General features: G+C 45.4%; 1 long non-coding RNA gene across 1 annotated transcript, besides 11 other annotated features; it reads right to left on the reverse strand.

Annotated features, from left to right (window-relative positions):
* Positions 4397-5195: an enhancer, noted in NCBI's record as "OCT4-H3K27ac hESC enhancer chr8:38368263-38369061 (GRCh37/hg19 assembly coordinates)". NCBI's record gives its function as "activates a minimal SCP1, AML or CMV promoter by ChIP-STARR-seq in primed H9 embryonic stem cells {active_cell/tissue: H9 hESC(primed)}" and the evidence as "EXISTENCE:reporter gene assay evidence [ECO:0000049][PMID:30033119]".
* On the reverse strand, positions 4486-22314 carry LINC03042 (long intergenic non-protein coding RNA 3042). Its single transcript, NR_167676.1, has 3 exons — positions 21975-22314; positions 10061-10164; positions 4486-6291 (listed from the first exon to the last, which is right to left on the reverse strand). It is a non-coding gene; the product is annotated as a long intergenic non-protein coding RNA 3042 (long non-coding RNA).
* Positions 5866-6444: an enhancer, noted in NCBI's record as "OCT4-NANOG hESC enhancer chr8:38369732-38370310 (GRCh37/hg19 assembly coordinates)". NCBI's record gives its function as "activates a minimal SCP1, AML or CMV promoter by ChIP-STARR-seq in naive H9 embryonic stem cells {active_cell/tissue: H9 hESC(naive)}" and the evidence as "EXISTENCE:reporter gene assay evidence [ECO:0000049][PMID:30033119]".
* Positions 6445-7022: an enhancer, noted in NCBI's record as "OCT4-NANOG-H3K4me1 hESC enhancer chr8:38370311-38370888 (GRCh37/hg19 assembly coordinates)". NCBI's record gives its function as "activates a minimal SCP1, AML or CMV promoter by ChIP-STARR-seq in naive H9 embryonic stem cells {active_cell/tissue: H9 hESC(naive)}" and the evidence as "EXISTENCE:reporter gene assay evidence [ECO:0000049][PMID:30033119]".
* Positions 13089-13590: an enhancer, noted in NCBI's record as "OCT4 hESC enhancer chr8:38376955-38377456 (GRCh37/hg19 assembly coordinates)". NCBI's record gives its function as "activates a minimal SCP1, AML or CMV promoter by ChIP-STARR-seq in primed H9 embryonic stem cells {active_cell/tissue: H9 hESC(primed)}" and the evidence as "EXISTENCE:reporter gene assay evidence [ECO:0000049][PMID:30033119]".
* Positions 15224-16182: an enhancer, noted in NCBI's record as "OCT4-NANOG-H3K27ac-H3K4me1 hESC enhancer chr8:38379090-38380048 (GRCh37/hg19 assembly coordinates)". NCBI's record gives its function as "activates a minimal SCP1, AML or CMV promoter by ChIP-STARR-seq in naive H9 embryonic stem cells {active_cell/tissue: H9 hESC(naive)}" and the evidence as "EXISTENCE:reporter gene assay evidence [ECO:0000049][PMID:30033119]".
* Positions 21057-22024: an enhancer, noted in NCBI's record as "OCT4-H3K27ac-H3K4me1 hESC enhancer chr8:38384923-38385890 (GRCh37/hg19 assembly coordinates)". NCBI's record gives its function as "activates a minimal SCP1, AML or CMV promoter by ChIP-STARR-seq in primed H9 embryonic stem cells {active_cell/tissue: H9 hESC(primed)}" and the evidence as "EXISTENCE:reporter gene assay evidence [ECO:0000049][PMID:30033119]".
* Positions 21057-22992: a biological region, named in NCBI's record as "P300/CBP strongly-dependent group 1 enhancer GRCh37_chr8:38385147-38386346".
* Positions 21281-22480: an enhancer, noted in NCBI's record as "P300/CBP strongly-dependent group 1 enhancer chr8:38385147-38386346 (GRCh37/hg19 assembly coordinates)". NCBI's record gives its function as "activates an origin of replication core promoter dependent on BRD2, BRD4, P300/CBP, MED14 and CDK7 cofactors, with strong dependence on P300/CBP, by STARR-seq in HCT116 cells {active_cell/tissue: HCT116}" and the evidence as "EXISTENCE:reporter gene assay evidence [ECO:0000049][PMID:35650434]".
* Positions 21863-22157: an enhancer, noted in NCBI's record as "tiled region #13; HepG2 Activating non-DNase unmatched - State 4:PromP, and K562 Activating non-DNase unmatched - State 21:Repr". NCBI's record gives its function as "activates a minimal TATA promoter and a strong SV40 promoter by Sharpr-MPRA in HepG2 and K562 cells {active_cell/tissue: HepG2 | K562}" and the evidence as "EXISTENCE:reporter gene assay evidence [ECO:0000049][PMID:27701403]".
* Positions 21919-21968: an enhancer, noted in NCBI's record as "active region_27252". NCBI's record gives its function as "activates an Ori minimal core promoter by ATAC-STARR-seq in GM12878 lymphoblastoid cells {active_cell/tissue: GM12878}" and the evidence as "EXISTENCE:reporter gene assay evidence [ECO:0000049][PMID:35858748]".
* Positions 22025-22992: an enhancer, noted in NCBI's record as "OCT4-H3K27ac-H3K4me1 hESC enhancer chr8:38385891-38386858 (GRCh37/hg19 assembly coordinates)". NCBI's record gives its function as "activates a minimal SCP1, AML or CMV promoter by ChIP-STARR-seq in primed H9 embryonic stem cells {active_cell/tissue: H9 hESC(primed)}" and the evidence as "EXISTENCE:reporter gene assay evidence [ECO:0000049][PMID:30033119]".

Consider the following 23030-nt stretch of genomic DNA (forward strand, 5'->3'; position numbering starts at 1 on the left):
GTGACGTGTTGGAGGGTATCATTTGGATAATATACCTTGACCTGTAGGGATGTGTCCATGAGGGAATGAATGTCCCAGTGTTGCTCCAGCGATACCCCTGGCCACAAAGACACGCCTGAAATTGCTGAGGGCTTAAGGCACTGGAAGGCCTGACTGTGCTTTAGTTTTCTCTCTTGTCAAATGCTAGCTCAACTAGTCCCACAGTTTTCTTGTGGGTAGTAAAATGAGAGCATAGAAACAAAAATATGCAGTGAGACATGATCACGCCACTGCACTGCAACCTGGGCAACAGAGTGAGACCCCTGACTCTAAGAGAAAAAAAGAAACTGAAAAAAAAGTTTAATAAAAGTGCAATAGTGCTTTGAAAATACTATCGATACCGTGAAACTTTAAGGTATAATGTGATTGTGTTTGTGTAACTTGTAACAGTCCTTGCGGGATTAATAGCTAACAATGTGGAAATAATCTGTTGTTGGGACAGGAATGTCATGCTGATATGGCAAGTGTCTAACTGTACTGCCTTTTGAATGGATGCCAAAGTGTGCTAAGTTCTGATACCTGAAAGATGGGCAGTGAGTGTCTGGAAACCTCTCCAGCTCCCAAAGGGATAGCAGATTTTACTATAAGAGTTTCTCAGTTTCCATAGTTACTCTAGGACTGTTCTGCTGGGGACACGCATTGTTTTATTAAAAAAAAAATAATAAGTTCTGTGATTTTCTATCAAGACTTTTGTGTTTCTGTTGATAACTTCCGGAGTAATTATTCATATTCTCCAACAGACAGACTGTTTGCTCAGTGGAACAGGATTTGTTGATCTACTGTTACAACTCAATCCCAGCACATTTTGTGGTGGTGATTTTCCAAAGCATTCTTCAGGTTGTGCTACCATATTGCACGAATCCATTTATCAGCCCATATTTGAGGGCTAACTACTGCTGTGTCATCATTACATACCTGTTTGCAGGATCTGTGGGAGACAGGGTGGCACGTCCCCCAATTATACCTCCAGTCATTTCGTCAGTTGGTTGTTACCGAGCATGTTCTTTTCTTTTCTTTTCTTTTCTTTTTCCTTTCCTTTCCTTTTCCTTTCTTTTCTTTTCTCTTCTCTTTTCTTCTTTCTTTCTTTCTTTCGTTCGTTCTTTCTCTCTTTCGTTCTTTCTTTCTTTCTTTCGTTCTTTCTCTCTTTCTTTTTGAGATGGAGTCTCACTCTGTTGTCCAGGCTGGAGTGCAGTGGTATGATCTTGGCTCACTGCAACCTCTGCTGCCTGGGTTCAAGCAATTCTCCTGCCTCATCCTCCTGAGTAGCTGGGATTACAGGCGCCTGCTACTGCGCCCAGCTAATTTTTTTTTTTTTTTGTATTTTTAGTAGAGATGGGGTTTCACCATCTTGGCCAGGCTGGTTTTGAACTCCTGACCTTGTGATCCACCTGCCTCGGCCCCCCAAAGTGCTGGGATTACAGGCATGAGCCACCGCGCCCGGCTCCTCTTCTCTTCTCTTCTCCTCTCTTCTCTTCTCCTCTCTTCTCTTCCCCTCTTCTCCTCTCTTCTCTTCTCCCCTCCTCTCCCCTCCCCTCCCCTTCCCTCCCCTTCCCTTCCCCTCTCTTCTCCTCTCTTCTCTTCTCCCCTCCTCTCCCCTCCCCTCCCCTCCCCTTCCCTCCCCTTCCCTTCCCTTCCGTTCCCTTCCCTTTCTTTCTTTTCTTTCCTTCTTTTTTCTTTTTTTTTTTTGAGACGGAGTTTTGCTCTTGTTGCCCATTCTGGAGTGCAACGGTGCGATCTCGGCTCACTGCAACCTCCGCCTCCCGGGTTCAAGCAATTCTCCTGTCTCAGCCTCCCAAGTAGCTGGGATTACAAATGCCTGCCACCACGCCCTGCTAATTTTTTGTATTTTTAGTAGAGACAGGGTTTTTCCATGTTGTGCAGGCTGGTCTCAAATTCCTGACCTCAGGTGATCTGCCTGCCTCAGCCTCCCAAAGTTTTGGGATTACAGGTGTGAGCCACTGCACCGGCCATTTCTTATGTGCCTGTCATAATGTTTAGTGGTGAATGCATGATCCTGAGTCCCCTAAGCAACTGTGTAGTCCTGACCAAACATCGTACTTTATTTCAGTCACAAGCTAGACCTTGCTTTATCCGTATGATTTTACCTAATAGGTATCTGCTTTAATAGGTACCTGAAGGTTTTTTTTAGTTGTCTTATTTACATTTGCTCCAGGGGCTTTTTTTCCCCCTGTAGTTTTTCCAACAGATTTGGCTGTTCAGTTTTCAGGTTTTAATGCGAAACTGCTATAATTTTCACAGACCAGTGAGGTTGCTATGATACTCCCTGAAGACTTGCCTCATTTTGCATCAGGGGGCTGCATCTGTTGTCAATGTGAATTACTTCCTTTCCACCTGGGGAACAGGAAGGCTTTTAATCGGGGCATTTCCATAGATAGTTACTCATTAACACTTTGATACTGTATACAAGGTCGGCTTTCAGACCATTTTATAATACCATTAATATGTTAGAGAGAATAAATGGCATTAGTTGCCTAAATCTCGTTGCCTGTGTTGAGGCAACTTCTTAATTTTTTTCTCCATAGGAATTTTATATATATAAATATTTATAAATATATATTTATATATATTTATATATTATATATAATATTATATATTATATATATTTATATATTATATATAATATTATATATTATATATATAAATATATATTATATATTATATATTATATATATTATATATAATATTATATATAATATATATAAATATATATTATATATTATATATTATATATATTATATATATAAAAATATTTATAAATATATATTATATATAAATATTTATAAATATATATTATATATATATATTTTTTAGATGGAGTCTTGATCTGTCACCCAGGCTGGAGTACAGTGGTGTGATCTCAGCTCACTGCAACTTCCACCTCCTGGATTCAAGCAATTCTCCTGCCTCAGCCTCCTGAGTAGCTGGGACTACAGGAACGCACCATCACGCCCGGCTAATTTTTGTATTTTCAGTAGAGACGGGGTTTCACCATGTTGGCCAGGCTGGTCTCGAACTCCTGACCTCAGGTGATTCGCCTGCCTCGGCCTCCCAAAGTGTTGGGATTACAGGCGTGAGCCACCACACCCGGCCAATTTTTCTATCATTTAAAAATGAGAAATTCTCTTTAGGGTGGGGACATGGTAGGGGATGTTTTAGATTGGGAGAGGGCAGTTTGAAAAAAGATTTTTCTACATTATACTATAATTTAGTATTTATAAATTTTTTTTTTAAGAAGAACTTATTACTTTCAGAGTACAAATCAGAGAGAGTCAAACATCTGAGAGGGGAGAGAGAGAGTATCAGTTATTCTCGGGAGGAGGGAGGAGCACACGGTCTTCATCACAAGTTGTTCTTTCACAATTTGGTTCAGTTTACATTTCTTCTTGGCAGTCCATCTGTGCCAGGGAACGTGGGGACCTGGCTGACCTGTCAGATATACCTAATGGATCTGGAAGCCAACTGTCTTCCGGCAGACCCAAGGAGACAAGGGAGCCAGCCTGACTTTGCAAAATCCAGCATCTCCCAATATATGCCCTGTCTTTAAAGCAGGAGAAGCCTCTCAGAGAATGGGTACCTAGTCTCTTGGCTGTCGAAGGCAGAGGCAATCTGATTCAGGGAGTAGGATATAGCACAGTGAGACCGGGGAAAAGAAAAAGAATACCCAAAAAACAAAAAGCCTGAATACAGAAAGGATTCCTTTGGAGAGGAGGGCCTGGTGGGGAACTGCAACCTTATCCCCTGAGACTGCGGCTCAGAAGCCCAGCCTGGAGGTTCAGTGAACCTGTTAGTAACATGAACTTGGTCACTGTATTTCTCAGCCCGAGCTCATGCATTATTTACCTGGCGTAAGTAAACCTGCTTCTCCCACGGTTGCTGGGGAAACCACTTTGATTTATTGAGTTCTGTTTTACTCTCCAGTGAAAAACGCTGCAGGGTGGAAAGGAGGGAGGGGGGCACTACTGGGTCCCAGGGGCTCAGGGTGTGGAGCAGTAAAAGGGATCCCCCACTTTTCCCCCGGAAAGGGGCCAACTAGGAAAGAATGCAGATTCCAGTGCTGGGAGCTCCAAGGTTGCCATTTCCTGCTTCTCTGAGTATCCCTTTTCTCTATAACACATCCTCCAGGAAGAGTTGGGAACAGGGAGCTAAGGAGAAAGGTGTCCCTTTCCCGAGGCCCCGGTGAAGGCCACTTGCAGCTCTCCCTCTGACTGCTTGCAGAGATAACATCAGTTTGTGCAGAGCAGGGAGGGGAAGGAGTCAGGTTTCCCCAGAGGCTGTTTCCCAGGTGGATCATCCTGGGGAAGCCAACTCCATAACACAGGTAAGGTGGTCCTATCTGCCCCCAAGTTCGCTGCAGCTCATATTCGGGGAGTTGCCTTATAGACCAGGCAGCTATGGTGGCTTAGAAAGAGCTTGGGACCCTGGGCTCAAATCTCAGGGCTTTTATTTATAATTTGAACAAGCTGTATAATCCTTCTGACTCTCAATCCCCCAGTGTGTGGAAGATGGATAGTAGTGTCTGCCTTGGAGTGTTCTTGTGAAGACTTCTCAGTGAGTGATCTATGGAACACGTCCATGCCCCAGCATTACAATGTGGGGTGAAGGGTTGCCTGCTTAGACCACCTGTTTCCTTTTCTTGCCAGCGAGATTCAGACATCGCGCCGGGCTCCCTTCCTCCTCTTTACTGCATATTGATTTTTCCTTTCCTCCCTTTGTTCTATTTGTGGCTCCTCTGGCCCCACACAATTGCATTATTTCTTCAGAGGCACACTGTATGAGGAGGTCTGTTCATGCCCAGCAGCATCTTGGGACTTCCTCCATGCCCAGCCGGCCTGGGCTGCTGTCCTTCTGGTCTGTGACCTTGTTGCATTTCCTTCTATAAAATGGCACTGTGTGGAGCCTTTTCCATTCCTTTCAGATTCTTTGCTTTTACTGGAAGGAAGCTGCTGCCTGTCAGGTGAGTGTCGTGATGTCCACCAGGGTAACGCAGACCGAGAGACATGTCAGCAATATGCTTGCAATGACCCAGGCATTTATAAATTCTTTAGGCAATAGCCATAAATGGGTGAAGTTTCAATTTTCATTTGTTTCATTTGTTTGTTTGTTTGTTTTGAGATGGAGTCTCACACTGTTGCCCAGGCTGGAGTGCGGTGGCATGATCTTGGCTCACTGCAACCTCCGCCTCCCAGGTTCAAGCGATTCTCCTTCCTCAGCCTCCCTAGTAGCTGAGATTACAGGCGCCCACCACCACGCCCAGCTAATTTTTTGTATTTTTAGTAAAGATGGGGTTTCACCATGTTGGCCAGACTGGTCTTGAACTCCTGACCTTGTGATTCGCCCACCTTGGCCTCCAAAAGTGCTGGGATTACAGGCGTGAGCCACCACGCCCGGCCTCAATTTTCATTTGTAAACCACAATGACATGTTAAAAGAAAAAAAACTTTCCTAGGTATCACTAACATAACTGTTTTTAGCAGCAACTTCTAGATTTTCTTTGGTTCTCCTGGGGTTATTTTGTTATATACAGGCTTATGTTTAAGTCTGTACTTAGCTACTATTGAGATTAGAATATAACTGTTAATTACATCTTAGACATTTCTGCCTTGACATTAGGTGCTAAATATCCCCAAATGACTTAGTTTCTCTCTACTTAAGCCAGTTCACCTGCTCCAGGCCTCTGTGCGTTGTTTTCTCTGAAATGTCCATATGGCCAGAAAACCTACGTGTGTTACTGCGCTGCCTCCAGATCTTCTGACTTCATCCAGAACTGTTCCCATGGGGTGAATGTTTCAAATTGGCTTCTTAAAGAGACTTCTGATTTCTTCCAAACTAAATGATAAATCAACAAAGAAAACCCAGGCCATCTCACAAACGTTTTTTGGCAGCAGCCACTCTTCAGAGAGGAATAAGAAGGAATTCCTCCGCGAGGGAGGGGCCGGGCAAAAGAAGAGCAGACCTAAGAATGTTCTCGGCCAGTGGTTCTTAAACTTCAGCACACACCAGAATCACCTGTGCCCCAGAAAGCACGGCTTGCTTGTCCCACCCCAGGGTTTCTAATTCAGGAGTTCTGGGCGGGGCTGGAGAATGTGCATTTCCAATCAGTTCCCCGGAGATTCTGATGCTTTCTCTGCAGGAGCCACAGTTCAAGCAGAGAGGACTGCGGAGGCTTGAGACAGGAAAGAGTTTGATAGGTTCCAGGACAAGAAAGGAGTCCAGTGTGGCTGGAGGGTAATGACTGAGGGGATGGAGAGGGAGGCAGGTATCACAACATGCAGTGGAGACACAGACAGACACAGACAGACACACACACACGATGTTTGAAGTGGGGTGTGCATGCGGGGTTAATGACCTGATTTGCCTTTGCAATTGTTATTTCATTTGATTCTCTTCGCAGTCACCATGCTGTGAGCTCGGTGCCTTTGATCTCTGTAAACCCCCCCACCCCGCACCATCCACAGAGTAGATGCTGGCTAAGCTGTATTATGTGCCAGATGCTGTCCTAAGCTCTTTATAAACATGATCTCATTTAATCCTCCTAATGACCCTGTGAAGCAGGAACTCTTATAATCCCATTTTACAGATGAGGAACACTGAGGCATCAGAGAGGTTACATAACTTGCTTGGGGTCACATAACTAGGAAATAACAGCCTGGCTGGTAAACTCGAGCTGAGCCCTCAGCCTCCACCCTGCGCTGCCTCTGCTGCCCCACGGTGCTGCCCTTTTACATGAGTGACCAATCTTGAAAGGCAGCCAGGTCAGACATGATGATCACCATCTTTTTTTTTTTTTTTTTTTTTTTTGAGACGGAGTCTCGCTCTGTCGCCCAGGCTGGAGTGCAGTGGCGCCATCTTGGCTCACTGGCAGCTCCGCCTCCCGGGTTCACGCCATTCTCCTGCCTCAGCCTCCTGAGTAGCTGGGACTACAGGCACCCGCCACCAGGCCTGGCTAATTTTTTGTATTTTTAGTAGAGATGGGGTTTCACCATCTGAGCCAGGATGGTCTCGATCTCCTGACCTTGATGATCACCATCATTTAAAGATGGGGAAACTGGCCGGGTGTGGTGGCTCACGCCTGTAATCCCAGCACTTTGGGAGGCCGAGGCGGGCAGATCACAAAGTCAGGAGATCGAGACCATCCTGACTAACACGTTGAAACCCCGTCTCTATTAAAAATACAAAAAATTAGCCGGGCGTAGTGACGGGCGCCTGTAGTCCCAGCTACTCAGGAGGCTGAGGCAGAAGAATGGCGTGAACCCGGGAGGCGGAGCTTGCAGTGAGCCGAGATCGCGCCACTGCACTCCAGCCTGGGCGACAGAGCGAGACTCCGTCTCAAAAAAAAAAAAAAAAAAAAAAAAGATGGGGAAACTGAGGCTCAACTGAGGCTCAGACAGGCACCTGGTCATAGGTGGAGGAAGAGTATCACCCACATCTCCTGAGGCCAGATCTCAAAGGTCTTGTCACAAAACTGGGCTGCCGATAAACCGCAAACCCGGAGAGTCTCCAGTGTGCCTGGTGCTGAACCAGGCAGACGAAGTTAACTGAGAAAGAAAAGGCCCCCGCCTGGCAGGTGTGAGGGCGAGGCTGGTACCCTGCAGAGATGGGGCTGATAGCTTTGTTCTCGGGCTGGATGCCCTGTCCGCAGCCTCCCTCCCTCCCTGGGCTGGGGCAGCAGCTGGGCTCCTGTGCCTGGAGGTGCCAACAGGGCCGGTCATTCACAAAGCCACCGTTGGTTTTGTAGCCATAAAGAAAGATACAGCCCTTCCCTCTGGGGAGCGAAAGCTGATACTGTAAACACTTTGGGCTCTATCTTTGATCTGGTGGGTCATAGGAGTGGCTTTTCTCCCCAGGTAGGGTTACCAGGAGAGGACTGGGCAGACCTTTGGGAAGCTGTGCCCTGCTGAACAGATGGTGCAGGGTGGGAGGGCAGGTCTGAGAGGGGAACCCAACAATTACCCCCAGGCCTGGAACCCAGACACCAAATTTCAGGCCTCGGGGAAATTCTCAGTTTTAAAATAAATACCTGGGGCTGCTTGTAACTTTTAGTCTTTGGCTTTAAAAACAGCTCTTTTCTAGATAAAGGAAAATAATAACTTGCAAACTTTAAAAAGCCACAAACCCCTTTACGGCCGGGTGCTGTGGCTCACGCCTATAATCCCAACACTTTGGGAGACCAAGGTGGGCAGATCACTTGAGGTCAGGAGTTCGAGATCAGCCTGCCCAACATGGTGAAACCCCGTCTCTGCTAAAAATACAAAAATTAGCCTGGCGTGGTGGCAGGTGCCTGTAATCCCAGCTACCCGCGAGACTGAGGCAGGAGAATCGCTTGAACCCAGGAGGCAGAGGTTGCAGTGAGCTGAGATTGCACCACCACACTCCAGCCTGGGTGACAGCAAGGCTCCGTTAAAACAAAACAAAACAGTCACAAATGCCTTTAAACTACAAGTTGGTAAAGGCTAGTGTCAGGCCTGGAAGAGACCTAGGGGTGGGATGGTGGATGGAGGGCCCAGGTCTGAAGTGCTTTTCTCTCTTCCAATCAGCTGATTTTGATTTGGGGTCATTTCCCTGGCATTGCATGAGTCATAGTTCTGTTCAAGAAGGTGGTTATCTTCAAACTAACTTTAAAAATTGTGAGTGGCTTCTCTTATTCTGCTTCTTCTAGTTATGATGCTTTTGTTGTTTTTCATCTCTGTGAACTCCTAGTTATCCTTCAAGACCCTGTTCAAACATCACCTTCCAAACTGCCATCTCCTACCCTCTTCCAACCCTAGAAAATCACGACTACATCCAATTATCCCTTCGTTATGCTCCATCCAAAAGTGCCTGTTTACAACTTCACATAACATGGGAGTTCACCATCAAGGCCATTTTTTCTGGCCAGATGACCCACAGAACTTGAGAAAAGACTTTTTTACGTATCATTTTATCCCCAATACCCAGTACATTGCCTGATACATAACAAATGGCCTTGGCTGGGCATGGTGGCTCATGCCTGTAATCCCAGCACTTTGGGAGGCTGAGGCAGGCGAATTACCTGAGGTCGGGAGTTTGAGACCAGCCTGACCAACATGGAGAAACCCCGTCTCTACTAAAAATACAAAATTAGCCAAGCATGGTGGCACATGCCTGTAATCCCAGCTACTTGGGAAGCTGAGACAGGAGAATTGTTTGAACTCAGGAGGCAGAGGTTGCGGTGAGCCAAGATAGTGCCATTGCACTCCAGCCTGGGCCACAATTGCGAAACTCCGTCTCAAAAAAAAAAAAAAAAAAAAAAAAGGCCTTGAATGAATGTTGTTGAATGAATGCTATTCGCTTTTCATCATAAGTAAAGGGAAAGAAATATTTATAAGTTTATAAGCATCTATCATAGACAAAGTACTGTCTAGGTATCATCTATATGTTATTTAATTTCATCTCTATTAGAAGAGCTTTCATTTGTTTAAATCTAGACTAAACGGGCAGTGATATCTTAACACAGTTAAGATAACTGGGAGGCTGGGCACAGTGGTTCACACCTGTAATCCCAGCATTTTGGGAGGCTGAGGCAGGTGGATCACCTGAGGTCAGGAGTTCGACACTGGTCTGGCCAACATGGCAAAAACTCCATCTCTACTAAAAATAGAAATATTAGCCGGGCGTGGTGGCATGTGCCTGTAGTCCCAGCTACTTGGGAGGCTGTGGTGGGAGGGTTGCTTGAACCCAGGAGGCGGAGGTTGCAGTGAGCTGAGATTGCACCACTGCGCTCCAGCCTGGGTGACAGAGTGAGACTCTGTCTCAAAATAAATAAATAAAAGATACCTGGGAAAACAGTTGATGAATACCTGTAAGGTGCTACAGGGCTACAGGAAATGCAAAGAAGGACAATGTCTGTCTTCTGGGAGTTTCAGGTATTATTGAGGACAGATATATGTACACACACACACATCCCACACATATAAACCTTACCCACTCAAAGAAAGATTATTGAGCTTGTAAAACACACTGATTTCTAAATGCCTGGTACATACCTGAATGTGATAGAAATGGAAGAATGAGAGATCACTGTGGGCTGCTGTGTTTTTGAAGAAACCACAGATGCGAGTCTCTCCCAGTGGCCTGTATTCTCATAAGCCTAGAGACAGGGAACAGATTAGATGATCTCCAGCCAGTCTGCTGGCTGGAGAACTGGAGAATTGTTTATAACGATACCTTATATTTACGACTTTTCAAAAAGTGCTGTAACATCCATGATCCTATTTTTATCTCCAAAGTCATACAGCTGATAATGAAGCAGAGCCTGGGGTTGGAGTCTGTCTCTGTCAATTACTAGTGGGGCTTCTGTCTGCCCATATGGCATCTCTGTGCAAATTGGAAAACAATGCCCCTTGCTCAGGTAAAATTGTGTTAAATTTAGTATATTACCGCATAGCTTGAACAACTGTGCGTGGCAGCCTTATCCTGGCTGTGCCCAGCAGAGAGCTTTCCGGAACATCTACACTGCAGTCTTCCTGGCTGAGGGCACACATGTGCCACACTCTCATTGCTCATGCTCCCTGCCCACCCCTGCCCTCCAATGCCAGGGCATGTATGCCTCTGGCAGCTTGTACCTTTGCCTTAACCCGAATTCCTCCATTAAGTAAAGGGGTTATACCAGGTTCAAAGTGAGGAAGGGTAAAGAATTGGGTCTCCAAGGGTGCAGGGTCACCTGAATTTTGGTTGGGAGAGGCACAGTGGTGCATATGAGAGTGTCAGCAATGTATGTGCAGGCTCTTCTGAGTGTGTGTGTGATCCATTGTATGGTGTGGGTTTTAAGTAGGGGAGGACTCTCCCCTGCAGCTTCAGAACTTTGGCTGGTGTCTCCACACATTCCTTCATTCCCTGACGTGTACGATGTGAAGATATGAATACTACACATACCTCCCACCCCAGATCGTTTATACAGTGCTGAACCTGAACAACTGTACATAGTGATCCTTGAATTTGAAGAAGTTCATTATTTATTTACTTATGTTTATTTGTTAAATAAAGTAAGTTTCAGTATAACAGTGAGATATTTGTTTATTTTTGAGACAGGGTCTCACTCTGGTTGCCCAGGCTGGAGTGCAGTGGTGCAATCAGGGCTCACTGCAGCCTCTACCTCCTGGGCTCTGGTGATCCTCCCACCTCAGCCTCCCGAGTAGCTGGGACTACAGGCCACCATATCTGGCTAATTTTTGTATTTTTAGTAGAGTCTAGGTTTCGTCATGTTGCCCAGGCTGGTCTCAAACTCCTGAGCTCAAGTGACCCACCTGCCTGGGCCTCCCAAAGTGCTGGGATTACAGGCATGAGTCACTGCTCCCAGCCTGGAAGTTCCTCGATTTTTTAAAATTGTGAAAGTTACAAAAGTTACCTGCTCTTTTCTAACAAATTAAATTAAATAGGGATACAAAAACAAATTGAAGAACCATTCTTGCTACTCTTTGCCTCTCTTATGTCTACTAAGTAACCAGTACTAAGTTTGCTTGCATATTTCCACTACTTAATGTGTGATAAGGGAAACAGAAGCAAACATATGTATGCATATATGGGTTTTTGTTTCTTTTTTTCTTTTTCTTTTTTTTTTTGAGACGGAGGCTCGCTGTCTTCCAGGCTGGAGTGCAGTGGCGCGATCTCGGCTCACTGCAAGCTCCGCCTCCCGAGTTCACGCCATTCTCCTGCCTCAGCCTCCCGAGTAGCTGGGACTACAGGCGCCCGCCATCACTCCCGGCTAATTTTTTTTTTTTTTTTTTGTATTTTTAGTAGAGACGGGGTTTCACTGTGTTCGCCGGGATGGTCTGGATCTCCTGACCTCGTGATCCACCCGCCTCGGCCTCCCAAAGTGCTGGGATTACAGGCCTGAGCCACCACACCCAGCACTTTTTAATTTTTTAAGTGTTTAAATTTTAATTAATTAATTAATTAATTAATTTTTTGGAGATGGAGTCTCACTCTGTCACCCAGGCTGGAGTGCAGTGGTGCAATCTTGGTTCACTGCAACCTCTGCCTACTGAATTCAAGGGTTTCTCCTGCCTCAGCCTCCCAAGTAGCTGGGACTACAGGTGCGCACCATCATGCCCAGCTAATTTTTGTATTTTTAGTAGAGACGAGGTTTCACCATGTTGGCCAGGATGATCTCAATCTCCTGACCTTGTGATCCGCCTGCCTCAGCCTCCCAAAGTGCTGGATTACAGGCGTGAGACATCGTGCCCGGCCACGCCTGGTTAATTTTTTTTTTTTTTTTTTTTTGATTTTTAGTAAAGATGGGGTTTCACCGTGTTGCTCAGGCTGGTCTCGAACTCCTGACCTCAGGTGATCCACATGCCTTGGCCTCCCAAAGTTCTGGGATTACAGGCGTGAGCCACCGCACCCAGCCCTATGCACTTTTTTAAAGTTTAAGAATATAGTGTGGAAATCTACAGTCTAGGTCAATATGTTGGCATGCATTCATTAATATTTTTGATAACTGCATGATATGCCATAGTATAGTTGTACCATAATTTATTTTAAATTTACATTTAACTTAATTTATTTTTTTTTAGAGACAGGGTCTTGTTCTGTTGCCCAGGCTGGGGTGCAGTGGTGTGATCATAACTCACTGCCGACTTGAACTCCTGGGTTCAAGTGATCCTCCCACCTCAGTCTCTTGAGTGACTGGAACTACAGGTACATGCCACCACACGTGGCTAATCCTTAACAATTTATGTAGAAATGGGGGTCTCACTATGTTGCCCAGACTGGTCTTGAACTCCTAGACTCAAGCGATCCTCCTGCCTTGGCCTCCCAAAGTACTGGGATTACAGGTGTGAGCCACTGTACATGGCCCCTCTTTTTCTGATTGTCTTTTTCTAATCAATTTGTAGGCAATCTTTGTATATTTAGGGCTATCAATTCTTATGTTATGGGCTACCAATTCTTATGTTTCTTTCAGTCTTTTGTCTTTTAGTTTTGTTTAAGGTGTCTTTTACCATATTTCACATTTTATATAACCAAATGTGTGTTTTTAATGTCTTCTAGTACAGAGTCTGGCCTGTGCAGGTCTCTAGTTCCTGCAGTTATACAAATATTCTACATTTCTTCATTGAAAAAAAAATACAGTTAGATTGTGAATTCATTTGGATTTTATTTTAAAATCTTGTGGGAGGTATGGAGAAGTATTTAAATCTCTCTGAGGCTTCGGGTTCCTCTGTCGTAACATGGGCATCATTAGGATGAAAGAAAACGTGTGTAAAACTTACAGCACGATGCCTACAACAGGGCTGATCCTCAGTAAGTGGTTATAAGAGTTAGTTTGTGAGTGGTGGCATGCACTTGTTGTCCCAGCTACTTGGAAGGCTTAGTGGGGAGGACCACATAAGGCCAGGAGTTCAAGTCGAGCCTGAGCAATGTAGCCAGATTTCCATATCTTAAAAAAATAAAAAATAGGCCGGGCGCGGTGGCTCATGCCTATAATCTCAGCACTTTGGGAGGCCAAGGCGGGTGGATCATCTGAGGTCAGGAGTTCGAGACCAGCCTGGCTAACATGGTGAAACCCCGTTTCTATTAAAAATACAAAAAATTAGCCAGGTGTGGTGGCACGTGCCTGTAGTACCAGCTACTCAGGAGGCTGAGGCAGGAGAATCGCTTGAATCTGGGAGGCGGAGGTTGCAGTGAGCCAAGATTGCACCATTGTACTCCAGCCTGGGCAACTGCCTCAAAAAAATATAAAAATAAAAATAAATAAATAAAAAAGAGAACTAGAATCCTGACTGTGGCCTAGAGATTTTTTCCTCCATCTCAGTGACTTGGCTCATATTGGTGACTTTGCTTTTTTCTCTCAGGCAGATGTGCTGCTTTGAACTGGGTGAGTGCTCCCTCCTGGTGAGGAATATGCTGGAGCTGGGGTTGGGCAGCGAGTCAGGATGGGAGGAAGCAAGGAGGAGTGGTTTACAGAAAGTATTTCTGTGTAAGGGATACCACAGTTGGAAGTTCCCTCTGGATACCCATGGGACTTGAACTCACGCTGCATCAGGGCTTCCTGAGCTCCTCAGGGACATCAGGTCACCAACTCCTTGTTTAGGATGGACTCTCCCTGTGGGGACAGGGAAGGAACTGGAGCTGAAGTAGATGTGAGAGGTGAAGGTGGCAGACTGTTGGGGCTCTGGAGAATCTTCCAGACATTCCTGCTGCCTCTCCCAGCAGACTATGCCAATGAATGAATCAGAAAGCTTGAAGAGGGAAGCAAAAGATGAAAGAAATCCTGGGACCACGCAGCTTCAGAGGGCTGGATGCCACAGTCCCCAGGCTCGGGAATGAACGCCTTAGCTGGAGCTTGGGGGCTTGGTGTCCCTGGACTACCCACACCGTAGCTCCAGGCAGGTTGCTATGCATGCTCACGTCATCATCCATATTCAGTTTCATCAATTACACTCAGTAATATCCTTGACAACTATTTTTTTCCTCAATTCAGGATTTAATCCAGGATCACACATTGCATTTGGTTGTTATTGTCTCTTCAGTTTCTTTTAAATTGGGCAAATCCTTAACCTTCTTTGTGTTTTATGACCTTGACTTTTTTTGTGTGTGGCAAAAAAGTTCAAATTATACCTTGACATTTTAAAATAGTACAGGTCAATTATTAAGTAACATTTCTTGTGATTAAATTCAGGTTATGGGTTTTGGGCAGGACACTGGGGAGATGCTGTGACCTTCTCAGAACACTGTATCAAAGATATACATGAGGTTGGCCTATTCCAACACTGGGGACGTTAACTTTTTTTTTTTTTTTTTTAGATGGAGTTTCACTCTTGTTGCCCAGGCTGGGGTGCAATGGCGCAGTCTTGGCTCACTACAACCTCCATCACCCGGGTTCAAGCGTTTCTCCTTCCGCAGCCTCCCAAGTAGCTGGGATTACAGGCGCCTGCCACCAAGCCTGGCTAATTTTTTGTATTTTTAGTAGAGACGGGGTTTCGCCATGTTGGCCAGGCTGGTCTCGAACTCCTGACCTCAGGTGATCCACCAGCCTTGGCCTCCCAAAGTGTTGGGATTACAGACGTCAGCCACTGCCCCCAGCCAGCGGACGTTAACTTTTGATCACTGGTTAAGGTAGTAGCCTTCAGGTTTCATCACTGTAAAGTTACTATGTTTCCTCTTTGCAATTAATAAGTAATTTATGGGGAGATGCCTTAAGACTTTGTAAATATCCTGTTTCTCATCAAACTTTTAACCACCAGTTTAAATATCCACTGATGATTTTGTAACATCGTTATTCCTTGTTAATTTACTAGTTAACATTCTACTGTAAGAAGAGCTTTTCCTTGACCTTCTCATGTATGCATAAATGGATGGATGGATATCAGTATGAACTTGTAGACTGTTATTTTATTAGTGGGTTATAATCCATTATTATTAGCATTTATTTATTGCTCAAACTGTCACAGATTTGGCTGGTGGGTGTGGTGTGGGTTTTCGTTTTGTTTGTTTTTTTTTTAGCCTACTGTTTTCTCACTTATTTATTTAATCATTTACCAATGGGTAAAAGTTTATTTACCCATAAACTTTTTCCATCTCCTGACTCTGACTTAGAATCAGAGTTTTGAAGCTGGAGACAACTTTACATTTCATGTTGCTTTCCCCAGCCCCTTTATTTTACATATGAAAGCTCTGACCGCCCCCAACACTTAAGCATGTTTTCAAGGTCATGTGGCTCGTTAAAGGCAGAGCTTGAGCTGAAACCTGGGTCCTTGGCTCCTGGGAGGACATTTCCAGCCTCCTTAGCATTGAGAAGCTTCTACTGTTACAGTTCTTTAGGCAACTGGAACTCCCCATATCCTGTGTGGGGTGTCAGGAACTGATGGTTCTAGTATTTATTGACAAGAGTTTTCACAGAGTTCTTGGGCATCCTTCCTGAATCCTTAACCTTGGCAATGGGAACAGAGGGTTCTCAGGGTCTTCAGAACTTCTGTCATGTTGAGCAATTTCCAAGGGCGTTGTGGTGGCCAAGATATGACAAATAAAAAACTAATGCCGGCTGGGCGCAGTGGCTCATGCCTGTAATCCCAGCACTTTGGGAGGCCAAGGTGGGCAGATCACGAGGTCAGGAGTTTGAGACCAGCCTGACCAATATGGTGAAACCCCGTCTCTACTAAAAATACAAAAAAAATACAAAAAGCTGGTGTGGTGGCAGGCGCCTGTAATCCCAGCTACTCAAGGCAGGAGAATCGCTTGAACCCGGTAGGCGAAGGTTGCAGCGAGCTGAGATCGTGCCACTGCACTCCAGCCTGGGTGACAGAGCGAGACTCCGACTCAAACAAAAAACAAAAACCAACAACAACAAAAAAACTAATGCCTACCAGCTTCTCACATTCTCACAGTTTACAATTTGTTGGTGGGTTTCCCTTCCTTCCTTCCTTCCTCTCTCTTCTTTCCTTCCTCTCTCTCTTCTTTCTCTTTCTCTCTTTCTTTCTTTCCTTTCCTTTCTTTCTTTCTCTCTCTCTCTCTCTCTCTCTCTCTCTCTCTCTCTTTCTTTCTTTCTTTCTGGTCTTGGCCTATTGCCCAGGCTGGAGTGCAGTGGTGCAATCATAGCTCACTGCAGCCTTGACATCCTGGCCTCAAGTGGTCCCCCAACCCCAGGCTCCCAAGTACTTGGGACTATAGGAGTCCACCACCATGCCCAGCTAATTTTTAATTGAGATGAAGTCTCACTATGTTGCCCAGGCTGGTCTCGAACACTTAGCCTCAAGTAATTCTCTTTCCTTAGCCTCTTGAGTCATGGGGATTACAGATATGAGTCACCATCCTTGTCCTCTTATTGGTAGGATTCTACGTGACATTGTGATGGGCATCTATCATCTGCTTGTCCAACATCCCTCCTATATTCCTTTGCCACTATCCTTCCATTTTTTTTTTTTCATGGGAGGATCACTACCCCATTTCTAGTCCATGTGATATGGGAAGGGCTGACCCACCCTGGGCAATCAGATCAGCATGGTAGTTAATTCAGAAATGGGAATGTGACCCAAGCTAGGCCCATGACAGTCATCCCTGCACTTTTGCTGAAACTGCTGGGAATGAGGTGCTTTCTTTTCATTGGAATAGCTACTTGCAAGGCAGCAAGTAACATGGAATTACCGGGGCCATCTTTGCTGCTCTCTCAAAAGAGCCTGCTTGAAAAATGGAGCCAATGCAGAAGAAATGAAGGGACTGAATGAGTCTTGGTTGATATTAGCTGACCCCTGATCCCACTGAGCCAGAAGCCATCTACTCATGGACATTTTTAGTTATGAGAGCCAAATAATTTGCTGCCTTGCTGGATTGAGTTAGTTTTCAATCACTTGCAGTGAAGAGAGTGCTGCCTCATTTCACTTCCTTTTAGGCTTAGGTCCCGCCTCTCAGAGCTTTAGAGCGGTAAAAAGGATAAAGCGAACCCAGGCAGTGCTGAGCTAGCCAGTCTCCTGGCTAAGTGTGCAAAGAACCCTGGAATTACTACTACCCTGGTCTGATCAGTAGCCTTGCCTGCGGTTTACCATACAGCAATAGGGGTATTGCTTTCTTGAGCCCTGAGGCACTATACCTGTTTTTAAAAATGATTTTTATTTAGGTCAGGTGTGGTGGCTCAAGCCTGTAATCCCAGCATTTTGGGAGGCCAAGGCGGGCAGATCACTTGAGGTCAGGAGTTTGAGACTAGCTTGGCCAACATGGCAAAACCCCATCTCTACTAAAAATATAAAATTAGCTAGGCGTGGTGCCTCACACCTGTAATCTCAGCTACTTGGGAGGCTGAGGCATGAGACTCACTTGAGCCTGGGAGGTGGAGGTTGCAGTGAGCTGAGATCGCGCCACTGGGCTCCAGCCTGGGTGACAGAGCGAGACTCCATCTGAAGAAAAATAAAAGATTTTTATTTAAAAAATGTTTTGTAGAGATGGCATCTTGCTATGTTGCCCAGGTCTTGAACTCCTAGCCTAAAGCTCCGGGATTATAGATGTGAGCCATTGTGCTTAGCCAGCACTATACTTCTATTAGTTGCCAATGCTTGCTTTGTTCTGTATTTTCTAGTGCATGCTTGAGTGTGAGTGTATGAGTATGTGTGTGATCATGTGTGTGAGTGTGTGTGTCAGTGTATTTGTGTATGTGTGTGTTCCTTTTACTCCTGCCTTGCAGGGTTATTGCAAGCATCAGGTGGGATAGTGTAGGCGCAGCACTCAGCCCAGTGCCTGGCACATACGGTGCGTGCTCTCTGCCTTCCCCTTTTCTCCTCCGGATTCAGAGAATGACTTAAGGATCTGTGATGTGTTCCAATTTTCAATGCCCTCAATAAATAATGGGGAGTTGGAATACTGTTGCCAGAAATTTGCACTAGTTTTAATTAATTTTATCTCTTTAGAGTAAGATATCTCAAAGTCACTGAATAAATTTATGTCACATACGATTATGCACATCAGTATTTTTCTTGAGAACTGACAGCCTTAGTCCTTGTTTTGTTCCCTGATGCTGCAGCAGAGGCCAAATGTGTCCTGATTTCTTGAGTGATGGCTGCCAGCTCTCCAAGTGTCACAGTAGATGAGGCCTCCATGGGGGCAAGCGCCAAGGATGAGTGTGGCCAGGCAGCATCTGCAAGCCCCTTTTGTCTATTCTTTATTTTTGTAATACATTTTATTCTTAAGTTATATATATGTTTATAAGTTTATTAATATATTTAATATAAGTTTATATTTATAAATATATTTATAAATTTATATATTTATAAATATTTATAAATATAAAAATTATATTTATAAATATAAACTTTATAAAGTATAAAGTTTGTATGTATAAGCCTTAAATATGTTTTGACTTATCCATATTTGTAACTTATATGGATAAGGCAAAACATGTATACAAAATATTAATTTTCTTACCCATTTTAACCCCACCCTCTGAAGTAAACATTATAACCAGCTTCACGTGTATCCCTCTACATTTTTTATATACTACACATTTTCCCACTTGTATACATTTTCTTATTTTCTTTTTTACTTATGCAAATATATAAACATACGTATTTACTTATAGGATACCTCTTTTAATTTTTTAATGCAAAATAAGATCATATTCTGTTCCTTGCTCTTTCTTTTCTTTTCTCTCTCTTTCTTTCTTTCTTTTTTTTTTTTGACGGAGTCCCGCTCTGTCGCCCAGGCTGGCATGCTGGTGTGCAGTAGCATGATCTCAGCTCACCGCAAAACCTTCGCCTCCCGGGTTCAAGTGATTCTCCTGCCTCAGCCTCCGGAGTAGCTGGGATTACAGGCATGCGCCACCACACCCGGCTAATTTTGTATTTTTAGTAGAGACAGGGTTTCTCCATATTGGTCAGGCTGGTCTCGGACTCCTGACCTCAGGTGATCCGCCCGCCTCGGCCTCCCAAAGTGCTGGGATTACAGGCGTGAGCCACCGAGCCCGACCTTTCTTTCCTTCCTTTCTTTCTTCCTTCCTTCGTTTCCCTTCCCTTCCCTTCCCTTCCCCTTCCTTCCTTCCTTCCTTTCCCTTCCCTTCCCTTCCCTTCCCCTTCCTTCCTTCCTTCCTTCCTTCCTTCCTTCCTTCCTTCCTTCCTTCCTTCCTTCCTTCCTTCCTTCCCTCTCTCTCTTTCTTTCTCTTTCTTTTCTTTCTCTCTCTTTCTTTTATCTGGCTCTGTCACCTAGGCTGGAGTGTAGTGACGCAATCATAGCTCACTGCAGCCTTGACCTCCTGGGCTCAAGTGATCCTCCTGCCTCTGCAGGGATTATAGGAGTGAGCCACTGTGCCCGGCCTCTTTTCCTTTTTTTAAACCTAATAATCCTGTGCCTCTCTTTGGGTCAATGTAGGTAGATCTAACTCCTTCTTTATAGTTGCTTATCTGCCAGTGTATGGTTGTACCATGATTGATTTATTTAACTGATGTCCTATCAATGGATTTTTCAGGTCCTTTATAGCTTTCTGCAATTACACATAATGCTGACATAACCACCCTTGCAAATATATTTTTTTATATTCAAGGAAACATTTGGTGATTCTACTCTTTTGGCCCATGTGTCATATATGAAGGACACTTACTATATCAACCCTTAATCTGTCTGTCAGTCTGCCACACGAGAAAGCATCCTTTTTTTTTTTTTTTGAGGCAGAGTCTCAAAAAATCAGGCTAGAGTGCAGTGGCGCGATCTCAGCTCACTGCAACTTCCGCCTCCCAGGTTCAAGCGATTCTCCTGCCTCAGCCTCCTGAGTAGCTTGGATTACAGGTGTGCGCGCCACCACACCTGACTAATTTTTGTATTTTTAGTGCAGACGGGGTTTCACCATGTTGGTCAGGCTGGTCTCGAACTCCTGATCTCAGGTGATCCACCCCCCCCTCAGCCTCCCAAAGTGCTGGGATTACAGGTGTGAGCCACCGCGCTCGGCTGAGAAGGCATCCTTTTACCTCCCTTTCCAGGGCATGTTTTTAGCAGAGCCCTGTTGGGAAAAGCACCAGTTTATGAATGTAGAACCTGGGCCCAAATGTAAGACCACTCCACTCCAGATCTAGTCTGGAGCAGTGATTTCTCTGCCCCTCCCATTCTCCTTGCCTCATGTGCCCTGAGCACCTCAGCCGCCTCCATGGTCAGTGACAAGCTGTAATTGGAGTGAAAGGGCTTTGAAGTTCTGATAAATGAGATAATAAATCTCTGCTCTCCAGGGATGTAGGGCAGTGTCTGTGCCTATTGAATGGCCTCAACAGTGCTGTGTATATAGTAACTACTTAATTATTATGAAATAATTATTATGAAATAAGTGGTTGAAGTGATCCCTTTGAAGTTCAGGTCAACTCTGAGCCATCTGAGAAGAATGAATGGAATGGGTAATTGAAACAGATAATCCCCAAACCTCAACTTACTAGTTAATAGGGTTAGGCTCTTTACCTATTAAACCCTTTGAGATACTCAATTTGAAAACTGCTAAAATAAATCCCCTACTTTCATTTATTTTTTCATTGTTGTGGGGCAGGAGAAATTGAGCTGTGAAATGGCCACCAGGAAGGTGGCAGGATGACGAGTCAGGAGTCCTGTGTGAGACATCCGCAAACATCTCATAAGCAGCTTCTGAATCACACAGCATCAAGGCTGCCAAAGTGCCTGGCCAATCTTGGACCTAGAGACCTAAGAATGGGTCTCCCTGTGGACTCCTCCTGACCTGGGTGGGGCAAGGCTCTTGGAAAATAGGTCAAATGACTCTCAGTCTAGAACCGTCTGGCCAGAGATGCCCCAACTTTGCCTTTTGGGCTATTCATCAAATCCAGCCTTTAGGACGTGACATCAGGGTTTCATTTCATGGGAAGATCTGGGTGCATTTTAGTTAAAAGAAGTGATGTCATCACATCCCTGCTGAAAAAAGGAAAAAGGACCCACTTTGTGCTGACATACCGAGTCCTGGGCAGGGAAGTCTGGACAGACACCTGGGTCCACACCTGGCTTTTCTACCAGCTAGCTCTGTGACTCTGGGACCATTGTGTCAGCTTTCTCTGCCACAGTTCCTCCCTCTGCAAAACGAAGGGCTTGAAATGCAGGATTCTAAGATTGTGGCCATCTCTGACTCTGATAACAACCCCGTGAGCCTGAAGAATTCAGCACTGCTGCTCCATAGGGGGTTTCAGCAGGAAGCGGGCACAGATGGCTTTCTCTGGAACGTGTTCAGAAATGTGGTGTGTGATGTACGGTGTGAATGAAGCGTGGTGCCCTTTAAACACAGCTTCCCCCTGGGAGTGCTCTGAGCTCCTCGGGTTCTCTGGCTCTCATTCACATTCCACTGTCACTCTGGGCACTGGCAGCCCTCACGTGCTTGTGCACTGAGCACACACACACCCCGCCCTGACTGACACACAATTGGTGACTCACAACTGACACAATCATTACACACATGGAATGACTCAGCGGGGACACTCACATGCATGGGCTCACGCTCACCGTGACGTGTAGAAGTGGCTGTGCTCGTGGCATCAGGCACCCCCACAGCAGCCTTGGTGGAGGCTCTCGCCAGCGGCGTCTGCAAATGATTTGCATTCTTGGCTCTTTGGAACTGCCTGTTCTTTGTCTCTCTGTTCGCTGCTCAACCCTTTCCTTCCCTTCTGTCCCAAACTTGGCTGGTTTTAGTCTCTTGCTCCCAAGCTCCTCAGCCAGCTTCCCGGACTGGCTCAGGCAGTCTCTAAGGCTCCTGCCAACTCCAAGATTGCTTCTAATCAACTCCTCAGCTGGGAGGAGTCCCTTCCCCAGGGGTCTCATTCCCTCCCTGACCTGAGCATCTCTTCCTGTCTTCTTCAGGAAGATCTTCAATATCTGTGCCATTTGAGCCAGCCCCTTTCGCTAGATAAGGAGCACCCAGAGCTAGTCACATGATAGAAAGTGCTGGCGGCTTCTGGAGGGTGGTCTTCAGTGTCTCTGAGGGTGCCCTTTCTCTTTCTGGCAGCCCAGGCAGATAGTAGTGTTGGGGTTCTTGAAAATCATCTTTGGGAGTTGAGCAGAACCAGCTGTTACTGGAGAAGCAGAGAAAAAAGATGCTGCACGTCCCAGCCATAATGGTCTGGGAGGGACCTACCCCAGAGCGGGAACCAGGGTGGGGAAGCAGTGCAGAGGAAAGAGAGGCCTGTGTCCATGGCTGCTGGCTGAGTTCTGATGGGAAGATAGGGGAACACGTCCTGGAGCTGCACTTCCTTGCAATTCATCTTCTGCTTTCAGATTTAAGGTTACTTTGCCTAGAATAGCTCCTGTCTTTCCTCTTTTCCTGGGGGAGCCCTCACACAGGAGAGGGAGTGTGGCAGAGTGTGATGTGAAGTCAGGGGTATAGGTGTAGCCTCTGCTAGTAGCTGTGGTCCTGGGCTAGACATTAACCACTGGAGTCTCTGCTTCCTTGGCTGTCAGATGTCCTAATACCACCTTTCTGTATCCTCTGATGTGGTGGCATAGATCAGGTGAGCTAGTAGATGTGACAGTGCTTTGACAAATTAAAAGTGGCACACAAATAAA

The sequence above is a fragment of the Homo sapiens genome, chromosome 8 (assembly GCF_000001405.40).
Source record: "Homo sapiens chromosome 8, GRCh38.p14 Primary Assembly".
Lineage (NCBI taxonomy): Eukaryota > Metazoa > Chordata > Mammalia > Primates > Hominidae > Homo > Homo sapiens.